The sequence below is a fragment of the Homo sapiens genome, chromosome 2, assembly GCF_000001405.40.
Source record: "Homo sapiens chromosome 2, GRCh38.p14 Primary Assembly".
NCBI lineage: Eukaryota > Metazoa > Chordata > Mammalia > Primates > Hominidae > Homo > Homo sapiens.
This window is the reverse complement of record NC_000002.12, coordinates 155,247,655-155,261,533: the sequence shown is the minus strand read 5'-3', so window position 1 is coordinate 155,261,533 and position 13,879 is coordinate 155,247,655. Positions and strand designations below refer to the sequence as shown.

The 13,879-nt window shown below is 33.7% G+C and overlaps 1 annotated feature.

Moving 5' to 3' along the window:
- Positions 10,468-10,587: a silencer, noted in NCBI's record as "silent region_12015". NCBI's record gives its function as "represses an Ori minimal core promoter by ATAC-STARR-seq in GM12878 lymphoblastoid cells {active_cell/tissue: GM12878}" and the evidence as "EXISTENCE:reporter gene assay evidence [ECO:0000049][PMID:35858748]".

Sequence of the window (13,879 nt, the reverse complement as noted above, 5' to 3'; positions counted from 1 at the left end):
GAGAGGAAACACAGCAGTGTTTGATATGGTAGTCTATTAACTGATGTAATGGAAATGAATAACTTCCTATTTGAAACACATCTATAGAATGGAAAATGGGCCAGCTGTTCATAGGTCCTCTGTCATTTAAACTTAACTCAGGGAGACTGAAAGGACAGTGATTTCTTAAGCTAAATATGCACATTTATTTAACAAATGTTGAGAAAAGTCAGGAAAAAGAAAAGTCAGAGAAAAGTCAGGGTGCCTCATTTAATTTCATTTTCCTTATTGGTGTTGATTATTATTTACAAACTTTCACATGCAGGCTGGTAAATTTACCCCTTATTTTCTGAGGGAAATCATTCAAATTTCGTAGTGATAAAATTTCTTACACTTTTTTGAGTTTTGAGTACAACACATATATCATTAATAGAAGGTGAATAAAATATAAATATTTAACTTAATTATCTAATATTAGGTACATATCCATATAATTACTGTCCAGAACAAGAAGTAAGATATTGATGACACCTCAGAACCCTCTTCCCCTACCTTATTTACCTTTCTTATCACATTCTACTCATTCTGTAAAGGTTTCCACTCTCCTGAATTTTATGGTTTTGAAAAAAAATTGCTTCGCTCTTGTTTGGTTATTGTGTTTTATTATTTAAGAGAAACTCATACTAAATAGTTTTGCCCATTTTTAAGCTTTAGTGAAAAGAAATAATGAAGTATGTATACTTTTGTGCCTGTCTCCTTTTCCTCAAATGTTGAAATAAACAGTAGTTCACTATAGGGATTCAAACAGCAGACCTGTGGAGACAGAAGACTCAGTGAATTTAAAATTTGGACAACGGAAATTGTCAATTCCAAGAATTGTAGGAAAAAAAAACAATGAGAAAAAATAAACAGGGCCTAAAAGACCCAAGAGACGCTACCAGCACTACCAAAGTACACATTGTGTAAATCCCAGAAGGAGAAGAGATTGAGAATGAACAGATTATAATAGTGATTATGTATATACACACACAAATATCCATATTCACATATAGACATAATCTTCACATTAACATGTCTATATGTATGTACATACACATACATATATAAATAATAATAAATGAAAACTTTCTAAATTTGAGGAAGGCAGCTATATATCCAAGAATTGCAATGAAGTTCAAGAAGGATAAATTCAAAGATATTTATACCAAGACATACTATAATCAATTTATTCAAAATAAAAAGCAAAGAAAGCCCACCACCAGAAAACATTCCATGGTGAACTCTATGAAACATGTAAAGAATTAACATCAGTCCTACTCAAACTCTTCCAAAAAAATAGAAGTGGAGGGCACATCTGACACATTCTATGATGCCAACATTACCCTGATATCAAGGCGAGACATAGTTACCACAAGAAAAGAAAACTGCAGACTAATATACCTTATGAATACAGTTGTAAAAAATACTCACCAGAACACTAGGAATCCTAATCCAACAGTGCATTGTAATGATAATAAACTATGACCAAGTGGAATTTATCTCAGGCATGCAAGGTTGTTCAACATATGATATCAATCAATGTTTTATACTACATCAATAGAATGAACACACACACACAAACATATACATACAGACACAGAATCATCTCAATATATGCAGAAAGGCATCTAACAGAATTTAACACTCTTTTATAATAAAAACACTCATCAAACTAGGAATAGAACAGAACTTAACATCTTGAAAGGCATTTACCAAAAATCCTATTACCCTCATTGATGAAAGACTGAAAGCCTTCTTTTAAGATCAGAAACAAGATTAAATGCCCATTATCCCCACTACAACATTACACTGGAAGTCCTAGCTAAAACAATAAGACAATTGTATGAACACCACTGCAATCAAGATAGAGAATATTTCCATCACCTTTCAAATTCCCTTGTGCCCTTTTACAATAAATCCATTACCACAAAAGCCATGTCCTGACAAACACTGATTTATTTTCTGTCCTTTAATTTTGCCTTTTTCAGAGTGTCATAGAACTTGAATCATACAGGATGTAGCCTTGAGTTTGGCATTATGACTGGGCAAAATGTATTTAAGATTCATCCACATCCATCGTCATCCATATCAGTGCTTTGTTTCTTTTTATTGTAACCTTGTATTCCATTGTAAAAATATACCATAGTTAATTTGTCCATTAAACAATTGAAGGACAAATGTTCTAAGTTCTGGTGATTACAAATAGAGCCACTTTAAACATGTGCCTACAGATACAGTGGTTTCCCCCTTATCAGAGGGGGCTGCATTCTAATAACCCCAGTGAATGCCTGAAACCGTGACTAGTACCAAAGCGGATATATATTGTTTTTCTGTATATATACTTACAATAACATGTAATGTATAAAATAGGCATAGTAAGAGGTTAAAAATAATGAATAATAAAATAGAACAATTATAATAATATACTACAATAAAAGCTATGTGGGCATCTCTCTCTCTCTCTCTCCCCTAGTCTCTCAAAATATCTTATTGTACTGGACTCACCCATCTGGTGATGATATGAGATCACAAAATTCTTATATAATGAGATAAAGTGAAGTGAATAATGTAGGTGCTGTGTTATAGCATTAGCCTACTATTGCATTTCTGAGCATAGGTTAAAAAAAAAAAAAATGGAAAGTGTAACTGAGGATAAAAGGAAACTAGTGTATTTTGTGTTGACATATGCATGATTTCATCTATTTCTTCTTAACTGGACATTGGTAATTTATGTTTTTAAAATTAGTCCCTTTTTTCCAAGTTATCAAATTTATAAGCAGAAAGTTCTTCATAATATTTTATCTTTTTTGTATTTTTATGCATGATATTTATTCTGTAATTATTCTAAATATTTAAATTATTTTGTCAGACTATTCAACATTTACATTCATTTACACTAAATTGTTTTCTTTGCTGTGTTTCTTAGCAATAGATTTCTTTATGTCATTTGGAAATTTGATTTACCAAATATTTTGAAGAAGGTTTTCCATTGCTGCCCACCTCAACCATATTCGCTCTTAAAATTTCATGTGGTTTTGTGGTCATTATTATTTTTGGGACTGCAGCATTGGTGATTTAGGCCTTCTGCATCTCCATGGATTTGGGAATTTTGAAATAGCAGCCAGATACATTATAGCTTTAATTTCTGGTTGCATAATTATATGTCCTTTTTTCTATGAATATGGTGCCATACTTTGTTATAGACCCGAACCCCAAGAAGTGGTTGGTAACTGCTCTTTTTGTATCTTCATAAACTGGAGACCCCATCACCAGCCTCTCCTCAGAGGACACAGGCTTTCAATTCTGACTGACTTTTGCTTTCCACTTCAAAATGAACAATTGTTGTCCACATTATCCTTCAGGAACTAATCTTCTGGCCACATCTCTTTCCACCCAGACACAGAGCTAAGTAGACCTAAAGTGTCAAAAATCCCCACAGATCACTCATGTAAAATAGTTTGTTCAGTTTCAACTGCATGGAAATATTTAACTTTCTTTTTGAAAGTCATATATTTCCAATTTTTTTTCATTTATTATCTGTGTATATGTATAAAGAAAGGAGTTGCCTCAAAGTGTTACAAAGAGCAATGCTAATCAGTTCAACTTCTGTTATTTACTAAACTTTCTAGTCACAAATTTTGTTAAATTGAGATGTTTCCAGGAATGCTGTGGTTATAAGCAGTGCAGAACAATGTAAGGCAGCTTAGATGCTATTTGGACCGTGCACACAGATTAAAATCGCAAATAAAGTAAAAAATAGTTTGCTATTAGAAAGGCTAGAAAGGGGAAATACTATTAAACAAATGAATTGATTTAAAAAATAAATATTCATGATACCACTTAACAATTTAGAATTTATGAGTATAATTATATCAATCTCTTTGAATAAAACCATTTAGAAAATGTTCTAAGGGAAAGAATTATTGAAGAATCAGAAAACTGTCAGAACAAAAGGGGACATGAGGCCAGATATGAATCATGCTTTCTTTCCAAAGAAAACTAACAATAAGGATAGTGAATTAGATAGAAGATAGCATCCCAATCCCATTAAACTAATATATTTGCACTTATAGCCTCATATGAATTCCTTGTTTTTGTCTAGAATTTTATACGCCTTGCTGTTCATGAAAGTATTTACGTCAGTAATGTTGCAATAGAGTATATTACATCTTTTATACATAAAATCTTTGAAGGAAAAAAAGCACTTCTGTTTAATTAATTTCTGGGTTTGACTTAATAGACTATTTTATTCAAAATCTAAGGACACTGCCACAGAGAGCAGGAGAGCCCGAGGACTCCTTGGCTGGGGCTGAGTGTGGTTACCCCACACTGTAGCCACAGCCAACATCAGCTCACACCACTTGGGACCCAGAAGGTCATCCTGCCATGGGGGCAGCTATTGCTACACCACACTGGTTGCCCAGGGGCCTGAGAACCTACTCACTTGCCTGGCCGACTGCCGCCACTACAGGCATTTGAGTAAGCCATCTGGTGGCTAGAGAACCAACCCGCTTGTTCCTGCTAACAACAATGCCGGGGTACGCATACCTGGAGTCCAAGGTCAGGCGTGATCTGCTCACTGCTGCCACCACTGGGTCCTAAGACAAAGCCTTCCAACATCCCTGCCCCAATCAAACCTTCACCATAGCCTACACTAATAATCACACCTAAACCAATAAGAAATCACAGGTGCCACTGATGCTGTTTACAACTGAAGAACTCATACAGAGACTATACTTCTGCATACACCCAGAGTCAAAGACAAAGGGCCATACCCAACCAACACCATTAATACATCTTTAGGAAAATACTCTCCTCTGTGAAACCAAATTCAAAAGATTGGAATAAGTAACTACTACACTAGTTGTGCAGATACCAATGTAGGGATAAGAAAGCAGGAAAAGCAAAAAAAAAAAAAAAAAGACACATCCAAACACAATAATCCCCCAGCAACAAATAGCCCAACCAAAAAGAAATGCATGAAGTCCTGAAAAAAGAGTTCAAAATTATGATACTAAAGCAGCTGAGTAAGTTTCAATAGAGTTCTGAAAAACAATACAATTTTTTTGTTTTAAATTCAGGATATGAATGAAAAATTTACCAAAAAGATAATTCTTATTAAAAAAAAACAAACCCAGAAACTCTGAAATTAAAGAATTCCTTGGATGAAATACAGAACACACTTCAAAGCCTTACCAATAGGCTGGACCGAACAGAAGAGAGAATTTTAGAACTTAAAGACAGAAATTTTGAAATAACCCTGTAAACAAAAATAAGGGAAAAAGAATGAATAAAGTCTGCATTATATATATGGAACACCATAAAGCAAACAAATATATGAATTATTGGTATCCAAGAAGGTGAAAAAAGAATGAAAGGGTTTGAAAACTTATTTAATGAAAATGAAATAATGGATGAAAACTTCCCAAGACTGGCAAGGGATTAAGACATCTACATACAGGAGGCCCAGCAATCACCAATGAGATTTAATCCAAAAAGCCTTCTCCATGGCACATTGTAGTCAAACTGTCTAAAGTCAACAACAAAGAGAAAATCTAAAATTAGCAAAATAAAAGCATCTATTTACGTATAAGAAATCCCCCATCTCACCCCATTTGAAATGGCTTAATTCTAAAATACTGGTAATAATGAATGCTGGTGAGGATGTAAAGAAAAGAGAACCCTCATATACTTGTTGATGGCAATGTAAACTAATACAGCCACTATAGAGAACATCTTTAGGAAAATATTCTCTTCTGTGGGAGGTTTCCAAAGAATTGAAAAGTAGAGCTGCCATATGATCCAGCAATCCCACTGCTGGGTCTATATCCCCTAAAAAGGAAATCAATGAATCAAAGAGATATCTGCACTCTCATGTTTTTTGCAGTTCTGTTCACAATTGCTAAGATTTGGAAGCAACCTAAGTGTTCATCAACAGATAAATGGATAAAGAAAATGTGGTACTTATACACAATGAAGTACTATTTAGCCATAAAAAATGAGATTCTGTTATTTGTTACAACATGAATGGAACTGGAGATCATTATGTTAAGTGAAATAAGCCAGACACAGAAAGACAAACATTACAAGGTCTCACTTATTTGTGGGATCTAAGAGTCAGAACAATTGAACCTATGAAGATAGAGAGTATAGAATGATTACCAGAGGCTGGGAAGGGGCAGGGAGAGGGAGGTGGGGATGATTAATGGGTACAAAAAATAGTTAGAATGAATGAATATGAACTAATATTTTCTGGCACAACAGAGTGACCATAGTCAATAATAATTTAATTATACATTTACAAATAACAAAAAGAGTATAATTGGATTGTTTGTAACCCAAAGGATAAATGTTTGAGAGAATGAATACCCCTATCTTTCATAATGTAATTATTATGCATTGTATTCTTGTATCAAAATATCTCATGGACCTCATAAATATATACATCTACTAGGTACCCACAAAAATTAAAAATTAAAAAAGTATCCCCCATCAGACTAACAATGAACTTCTCAGCAGAAACTCCACATGCCAAGGAAGACTGGATATATTCAAAGTGCTAAAAGAAAAAAAAATAAACTGCCATGCAAATGGACTATATGCAGCAAAATTATCCTTCATAAGTGAAGGAGAAATAGTCTTTCTTAGACAACCAAATGCATTTATGGAAAAATGTTACATAGCTAGATTATGACACAGAGAGAAAAAGCAGTACCAAAATATAAGAAATTCAATCTAAGCATATTTTTCATTCCAGATGACAGAGATATATGGAAAACAGCATACCTCATGGTGATAGCTTTACACTAAAGAGTTATGGGCTAATATAGCTGGGACTCAGGTGTGCTATTATTTTCTGAGATAGATCATGAATCCTGAAAATACTGAATAAAAACTTAATATCTACGTTGTGAATAAACGTTAGAAATTCAGACTTAGGTTTAAACATAAAAGTATCGTGTGTACTTTTCAGATATTCTAAATACTCTATGATATTAAATTTGTATTATTGTTTAACAATAATAAAATTATAATATATAAATTAAAATATACAATAAAATTGTATAAATATTATATTATATAAAAAATTATTTGTATAGCAATTATACAAATTTGTCAGAGAAGCAAAACAAATAACAAATAACATGAATAACAATGAATAATAATAAACTAATTGTTGCTGTAAATAATCCAATTAAGAATACATTTTGATAGACATTCCTTTATGCATGAATTCTAAGTAATAATTTATGAAGTATCAAAACATATGTGCTATCTACAGATTTTAATAATTTTACTTATTAAAAAGGTTTTTCTTGTGATTTTTGAAGTTACATTAGAATTTATATAATTTTATACCCATTATTAGAAGGTGTTAGCATAGCAATAAACTAAAATTAAATTTAATACTTAAAAGTTATGTCTAAGATGTAAGACAAATGTTAATTCCTGATGAGAAAGATATTCCTTGCTCTCCAAAACAGCAAGGAAGCAAATGGTGCATGAAGACAAGAGTTCATGTGCATGAAATTCTGACATTCTTAATAATTTTGAAAACTTTATCATTTTGTGATTTTTTTGAAAGGGAAATCAAATGTTTACCCCTAAAATTAATCCTGGTTGATACTTTCTGATATTTTTCTTGCCTACCTGGTTACACAAGGTACAGATCAAGTTCTTAAAAAAGTATGATTCTTTTAATAGCTTTAGAATTCCTGACGTACGAAGTATCAAGAAAATGAAAGAACTAGAAATGGAAAGTTTTTCTGAGAATCACAAGATGTGAGAACTAAAGGTACAAATGTCATTAACAAGATAACTCTAGCTCATATTTAGTGATGTGTGCAAAGGATATTAAATAGAATTATGTGTTGTTCTACGCTATCCTGGAGCAATAATAATAATAATAATAGCAACAACAACAAGAAAGCAGCAGCAACAGAAGCTGCTGTTAATTGCATACACCTTATATGTCAGATATTTTACATATACTATCACATTTAATAGTGCAGTAACTCTATGAGTGTGGGAATGAGAGATCTGAGGAACTAAGGAATTAAGTAATGTTCCAGTTGTCACAGCATACGTGGCAGAACAGGGATTTGAACCCAAGGATGTGATTTGAGTCACCATCTTATATACTGCCTTTAGAAAAGTGACTGTATTTTGTCCAAGAACTAATTTCAAAACACAATAATACTGCCCCTCGATTTGTCTTAATTTGAATTGTTGACACTTATAAACCTTCTAGGCTATCCTCTTGTCTTAAAGCCTTATTGGATGTAGTAAAGACAGAGAATGCAAATTGGTGGGCTAGTCTGGTGGCAATAATATGGATTTAAAATTTGACAGATTTGTCTTTATCTCCAACTACCTTTTATATGCTTTTATATATGTATAACTTCATGAAAATTTTATACCATCTTTGAATCTCGATTTCCTCATAGGTAAAATGGAGCAATTCAAACCTACCTCATACAATTATTGTCAATATTATTGAGGTAATAACAGTATCTGTAAAGTTCTGAACATAGTGCTACAGCAGATGGTCAGTAAATAGTAGCTTCTATTGCTGTTTGTATGATTATTAGCCCCAAACACAGTGATCATTTTTATGCATCTTTTTAATCCTATTTAGAGTTCAAATGCTATAAACTATAATATCAGTTTAAATATAAACGAAACACCGCATGTTCTCACTCTTAAGTGGGAGTTGAACAATAAGAACACATGGACACAGGGAGGGGAACATCACACACTGGGGCCTGTCGGGGGGTAGGGGGCTCCGGGAGGGAGAGCATTAGCAGAAATACCTAATGTAGATGACGGGTTGATGGGTGCAGCAAACCACCATTGCACGTGTATACCTATGCAACAAAACTGCACATGTACCCCAGAACTTAAAGTATAAAATATATATATACACATATATATATATGTGTATATATATATATGTATATAGTGATCTTGTAACATTTAGGTAAAAAACACTTCCTTTGAATATTCTCTATTGTAGTGCCACTTATCTCCTTTCACAGGAATATGCGAGTAAATAAATAATCCATTTGAGTCCAAATCATATGCATTGCCTAGTTGAATGTTTCTCAAACCATTCCACTTGTGACTAAGCCACTTGAGAATTCTGGAAAACTCGCAAATCACTGTATACTTAAAAACAAATTGTGACAATAAATTACTTTTATATTACTTAGAAAAAAAAGACAGTAGAGGCCAGGTGCGGTGGCTCGCACCTATAATTCCAGAACTTTGGGAGGCCGAGAGGGGCAGGTCACGGGGTCAGATCAGGACCATCCTGACTAACACGGTGAAACTTCATCTCTACTAAAAATACAAAAAATTATCCGGGAATGGTGGCATGCACCTCTTGGGCCAGCTACTCAGGAGGCTGAGGCAGGACAATCTCTAAAACCTGGGAGGTGGAGGTTGCAGTGAGCCAAGATCGCGCCACTGCTCTCCAGCCTGGGTGACAGAGCGAGACTCTATCTCAAAAAAGAAAAGAAAAGAAAAGAAAAAGACAGTTTATAATATACTGGTGGTATGTGATCATAGAGAACACATATGAACTATAAATTGTGAAGTATTCACACTCAATATATATGGCTAACAGGATCAAGTGGAAGATGAGGAATAAATGTTCTGCTAGAAAAATAGTGGAGCCTTCTTGCTATCGGAAGAGATTTTAAACGTGTTAGTATGCTGAGCTCCCTGAATTCAAAATGTCCTCAGAACTTTTAAAAATTCCACTTGAGAAATATACTTAATAGCATAAAATGTGAAAAATTGATTTCAAAATACATGACTACCCTTCATAAAATTATAATGCTTTTCTTGCATTGATTTTAATGTGATATTTCTAAACTGATTTGTTAGCCTATGTTTTATACAAAGTTGATAATCTAGGACTTAAAATGCTGTTGCCATAGGGAAGAGAAGAGATTGAAACATATATTTGAGTTTACAATTTGATTTTAATGAAATCATCTGGCTGAATGTAAAAGCAACATCTGCATCCTTGTCTTCTGCAGGAAGCTGTGGTTAATTTTTGTGCAGAACAAAGAATAGAGTAATTAGAATGTTTGATGAGTTTTAAAAGATATTTTCACTTCCAAAAAGAGAACATATAGTTCTCTGATCAAATGTTGGGAAAACCTGACTTAATGTATGTGATTTTCACCACAACAGTAAAACAACAGAAAGGGGATTGTTTTACCGCAGTGTTCAAGATCAGTGCAATTATCATTGTTCTCTTAGATTTATATAAATCATTTTTGTGATATCATGGACTATCTTGAATACTCATTTTTCATATACATATTAGAAACATACAGATTCTCACTATTACTAGTTATAACAACTGTGTTTGGTCTAAATCAATTTCTCACCCTTGGCAGTTTGATCTTTGGGGTTGGATAGTTCTTTGTTGATTGGGGCTGCCCTCTAGATTGTGGGATGTTTAGCAGTAGTCCTGGCCTCTACCCACTAGATGCCAGGAGCTATCCACTAGATGGCAATAGCAACTACCTTCTTTGATTTGTTTTGACAATCAAAGCCTTTGTTCTAAGCAATGCCCAGTGTCTTCTGAGGGTCAAAATCCCAGCCAATGAGAACCAAAGATCTAACCCTTACATTTTCAAATTTATCATTCATTTGTTCATTCATTCGTTAAAAGTGTATTCTGTAACAAACGTGGTCTAGTGCTGTTTTGAATAACAACAGTTAATCACAGCTTTTGTTGAAGTAGGAGCCTGATGAGCCTATTTTTATGAACCTGCAAATCCTTCTGGGTCAAAGACTTATCTAAAGTTTTTTAACCTTAAACATTCCTTATCTTCTTCAGTATGGTGATAGAATTCATTCTTAATACAGTTGGGTTTATTTTTTTGACTGCTTATACTCCTTTACAGGTTCCCAGCACGTCCTGATTGGTTTTATTTATTTATTAGGGGATATGTGAACACTAATATGGTTCAGAGTCAATGCTACACAAATTATAATCATAGCAGTGTCCCCTTCTTTTCATCTCTTTTACTCAATTCCTAGTTTTTCCTTGTTTTCACTCTTCCCATCTGGGCCCTGTAACTAACAAATCTCTTTAGTTTCTGGTTTAACCTTCATGCATTTCTTTTGTACAAATGAGTGTATTTGTGTGCACGTGTGCACACACACACACGTTGTTTCCTTACATCTCTTTCTTTCTTACACAAAGGATAGCGTACTATATATACTTGTTTGCTTTTTGCTTTTTTCTACCTAACTGTATGTCCTGAAAGTGACTCCAGTCACTATAAAGTCAGTTTATAGAGATTACCTTATTGTTTCCTACAGACAAATAGTACTTGATTGTGTAGATGTACCATAATTTAGTCAACCATTCTTCTAGGTATTGGAATTTTGAATGTGTCTAATAGTTTTCATGAACAATGCTGCGATGACTAACCTGTTGGTGTATATGGTTTTAGGCATATCTTTAAGAAAGTTTCTTAGCAGTGGGGTTATTGGATCAAAGGGGTTAGGTGCATTTGTAATTTTGTTGGATATTGCTAAATTCCTCTCTTGAAAAATTGTAGCAGTTTGCATTTCCACCAACAATATAGAAGTATTACTGTTTTCCCACAGCTTTACCAACAGAATTTCTGGTTTTACTTTTTAATTTCTGCCAGCTGATGGATGAGAAATGGTATTTAGATGTTGTTTTAATTTACATTTCTCTAATTATGAGAGATTTTGAATATTTTTCATATATAAAATATATACGTTTCATATAACATGAGTGTATTGCATGTGTGTGTGTATTTGTCTTTTCATGACTTTGTCATTTTGCTTTCTACTGGGTTTTAGACCTTTGTTCTAAAATGATGCTTTAAAGTATCCTATATGTTAATGTTTATTTCTATGTCTCCTTGTACCTCCTGTAGAGTTTTAACTTCATAAACATGATTGTTACATATGAGTGTGGCTGCAGGCCAAAATCCTATGTGGGATCTTTAAGGTCCAAACATGAACAATAACAAAGGATTTACCTGGCACATTTCATGGGTGAAAGCCACCGTCCCACACAGTACTCTGTGCAGTGCTGTAGTCTCTAGAGAGGGTTGTCATTAAGTTCTCAGCAGTATGCCAGCGCCTGCCACCTCCCCAGTCATGTGCACTGACCCACTGGAACTTCCCATGTTCTCAGTTTGGCTACTTATTATTCTATTTGACCGCCTTGACACCTGGCTGCTCTCCACAGCACAGGTATTACTACTTTATCTTTATTTCTAATACTGGCTTTTTAACGTTCATGAATGTCCTTGCTTTTCATATTTAATGCTTTTGGGATTGATTTGTACTTTGGTAGTAGAATTGCTGCTGTAGTTCTCTTTATTCATTTTCCAAGATGTATTTGTCCGCACCTTTATTTTTAGCTTTTATAGATCATTTTGTTTCAGGTTTGTTTTCTGTTGTAAAGAGTGTATACTTGAATCTTGATTTAAGACTTAAATTAAAATTTTTTTCTCTCGTTAGGCAAGTTACACTAATTCAGATTTATTGGCAGGACTATGTTTGATCTCAACTCTGTCATAAAATATTATAATTATATCTCTTTGGCAATAATAACTATATTTTTCCTCTGGGAGATGTGGCATACACATGTGTGTGCGTGTGTGTGTGTTGTAGTGGTTACTTTTATATTTAAAATCTTTCTAATGCCTTTAGGCTCCTGCTTGTTTATTTAATCTTTTAGTTTCTTTTTAAAATATGGTACACTTTATGCTCTTTTATTACAACAGATTATTATATTTTTTTCCTCTTTCCTTCTCCTTTCTCCTCCCATTTTGTATTTGCTTTATTTCTATTTTGTCGAAATATTTACATTTGTTTATTAGTCTTCCACCCTCATGTCTACCATTGCTTTTGTCTTAGATGTACATTTATATAATGTCTATATTGCCACTACCCATCCTTTTGCGTAAATTTTCCATCATCACTGGGTTGGATGAGGTTTGTCATCTAGAAATCTAATGGGGACACAATTCCCTAAGCCTTGTATGTTTTTTAAAAAATGGTTTAGCTATAGCTTTGATACTTGAAGGAAAACTTGGCTGGAAATAAAATGTATGGTGCAAAATATATTTTCTCATTAGATCTCTTATTAAGTTTATTGCCTTGCTTTGAATATTGGTATTAAAAAAAACTGATGTTTGTCTATTTGTTTTACCTTTGTAAGTCATTTACTCTTTATGCCTGGTGAGATTGAGGCCTTTATCTTTTGAAATGGAATGATTTCAGTAAGATGTGTCTCAGGGTAAACATTTCTGTGTTAATTTTCCCAGGTATCCAATGAGCATTTTCAATGAGTAGACTGAAGTCTTTTTAAAATTTTTAGAATATTTGTTTATATTATTGTTTTAAATATTAGTACTCTTAAGTTTTTCTCAGAGACTGCAATATTATGAACAATTTTTCTTCTTTGTTTCCTATTTCCAGTACTTTCATGCTTTCCATTTTTACTTATTTCTTTATATCATTCTCTTAATTCTTAATTGTTTTCCTGCTTTTCTCTGATGCCTCTTACTAAATTTACTTTTGCAACTATTTTCCTCTGGGAATTTTACAATTATTTGTTTATTTATTTTGAGATGAGTTTTGCTCTTGTTGCCCAGGCTGGAGTGCAACGGAGTGATCTCAGCTCACTGCAACCTCTGCCTCCCGGGTTCAAGCAATTCTCCTGACTCAGCCTCCCGTGTAGCTGGGATTACAGGCATGTGCCACCATGCCCGGCTAATTTTGTATTTTTAGTAGAGATGGCGTTCCTCCATGTTGGTCAGGCTGGTCTCGAACTCCCGATCTCAAGCGA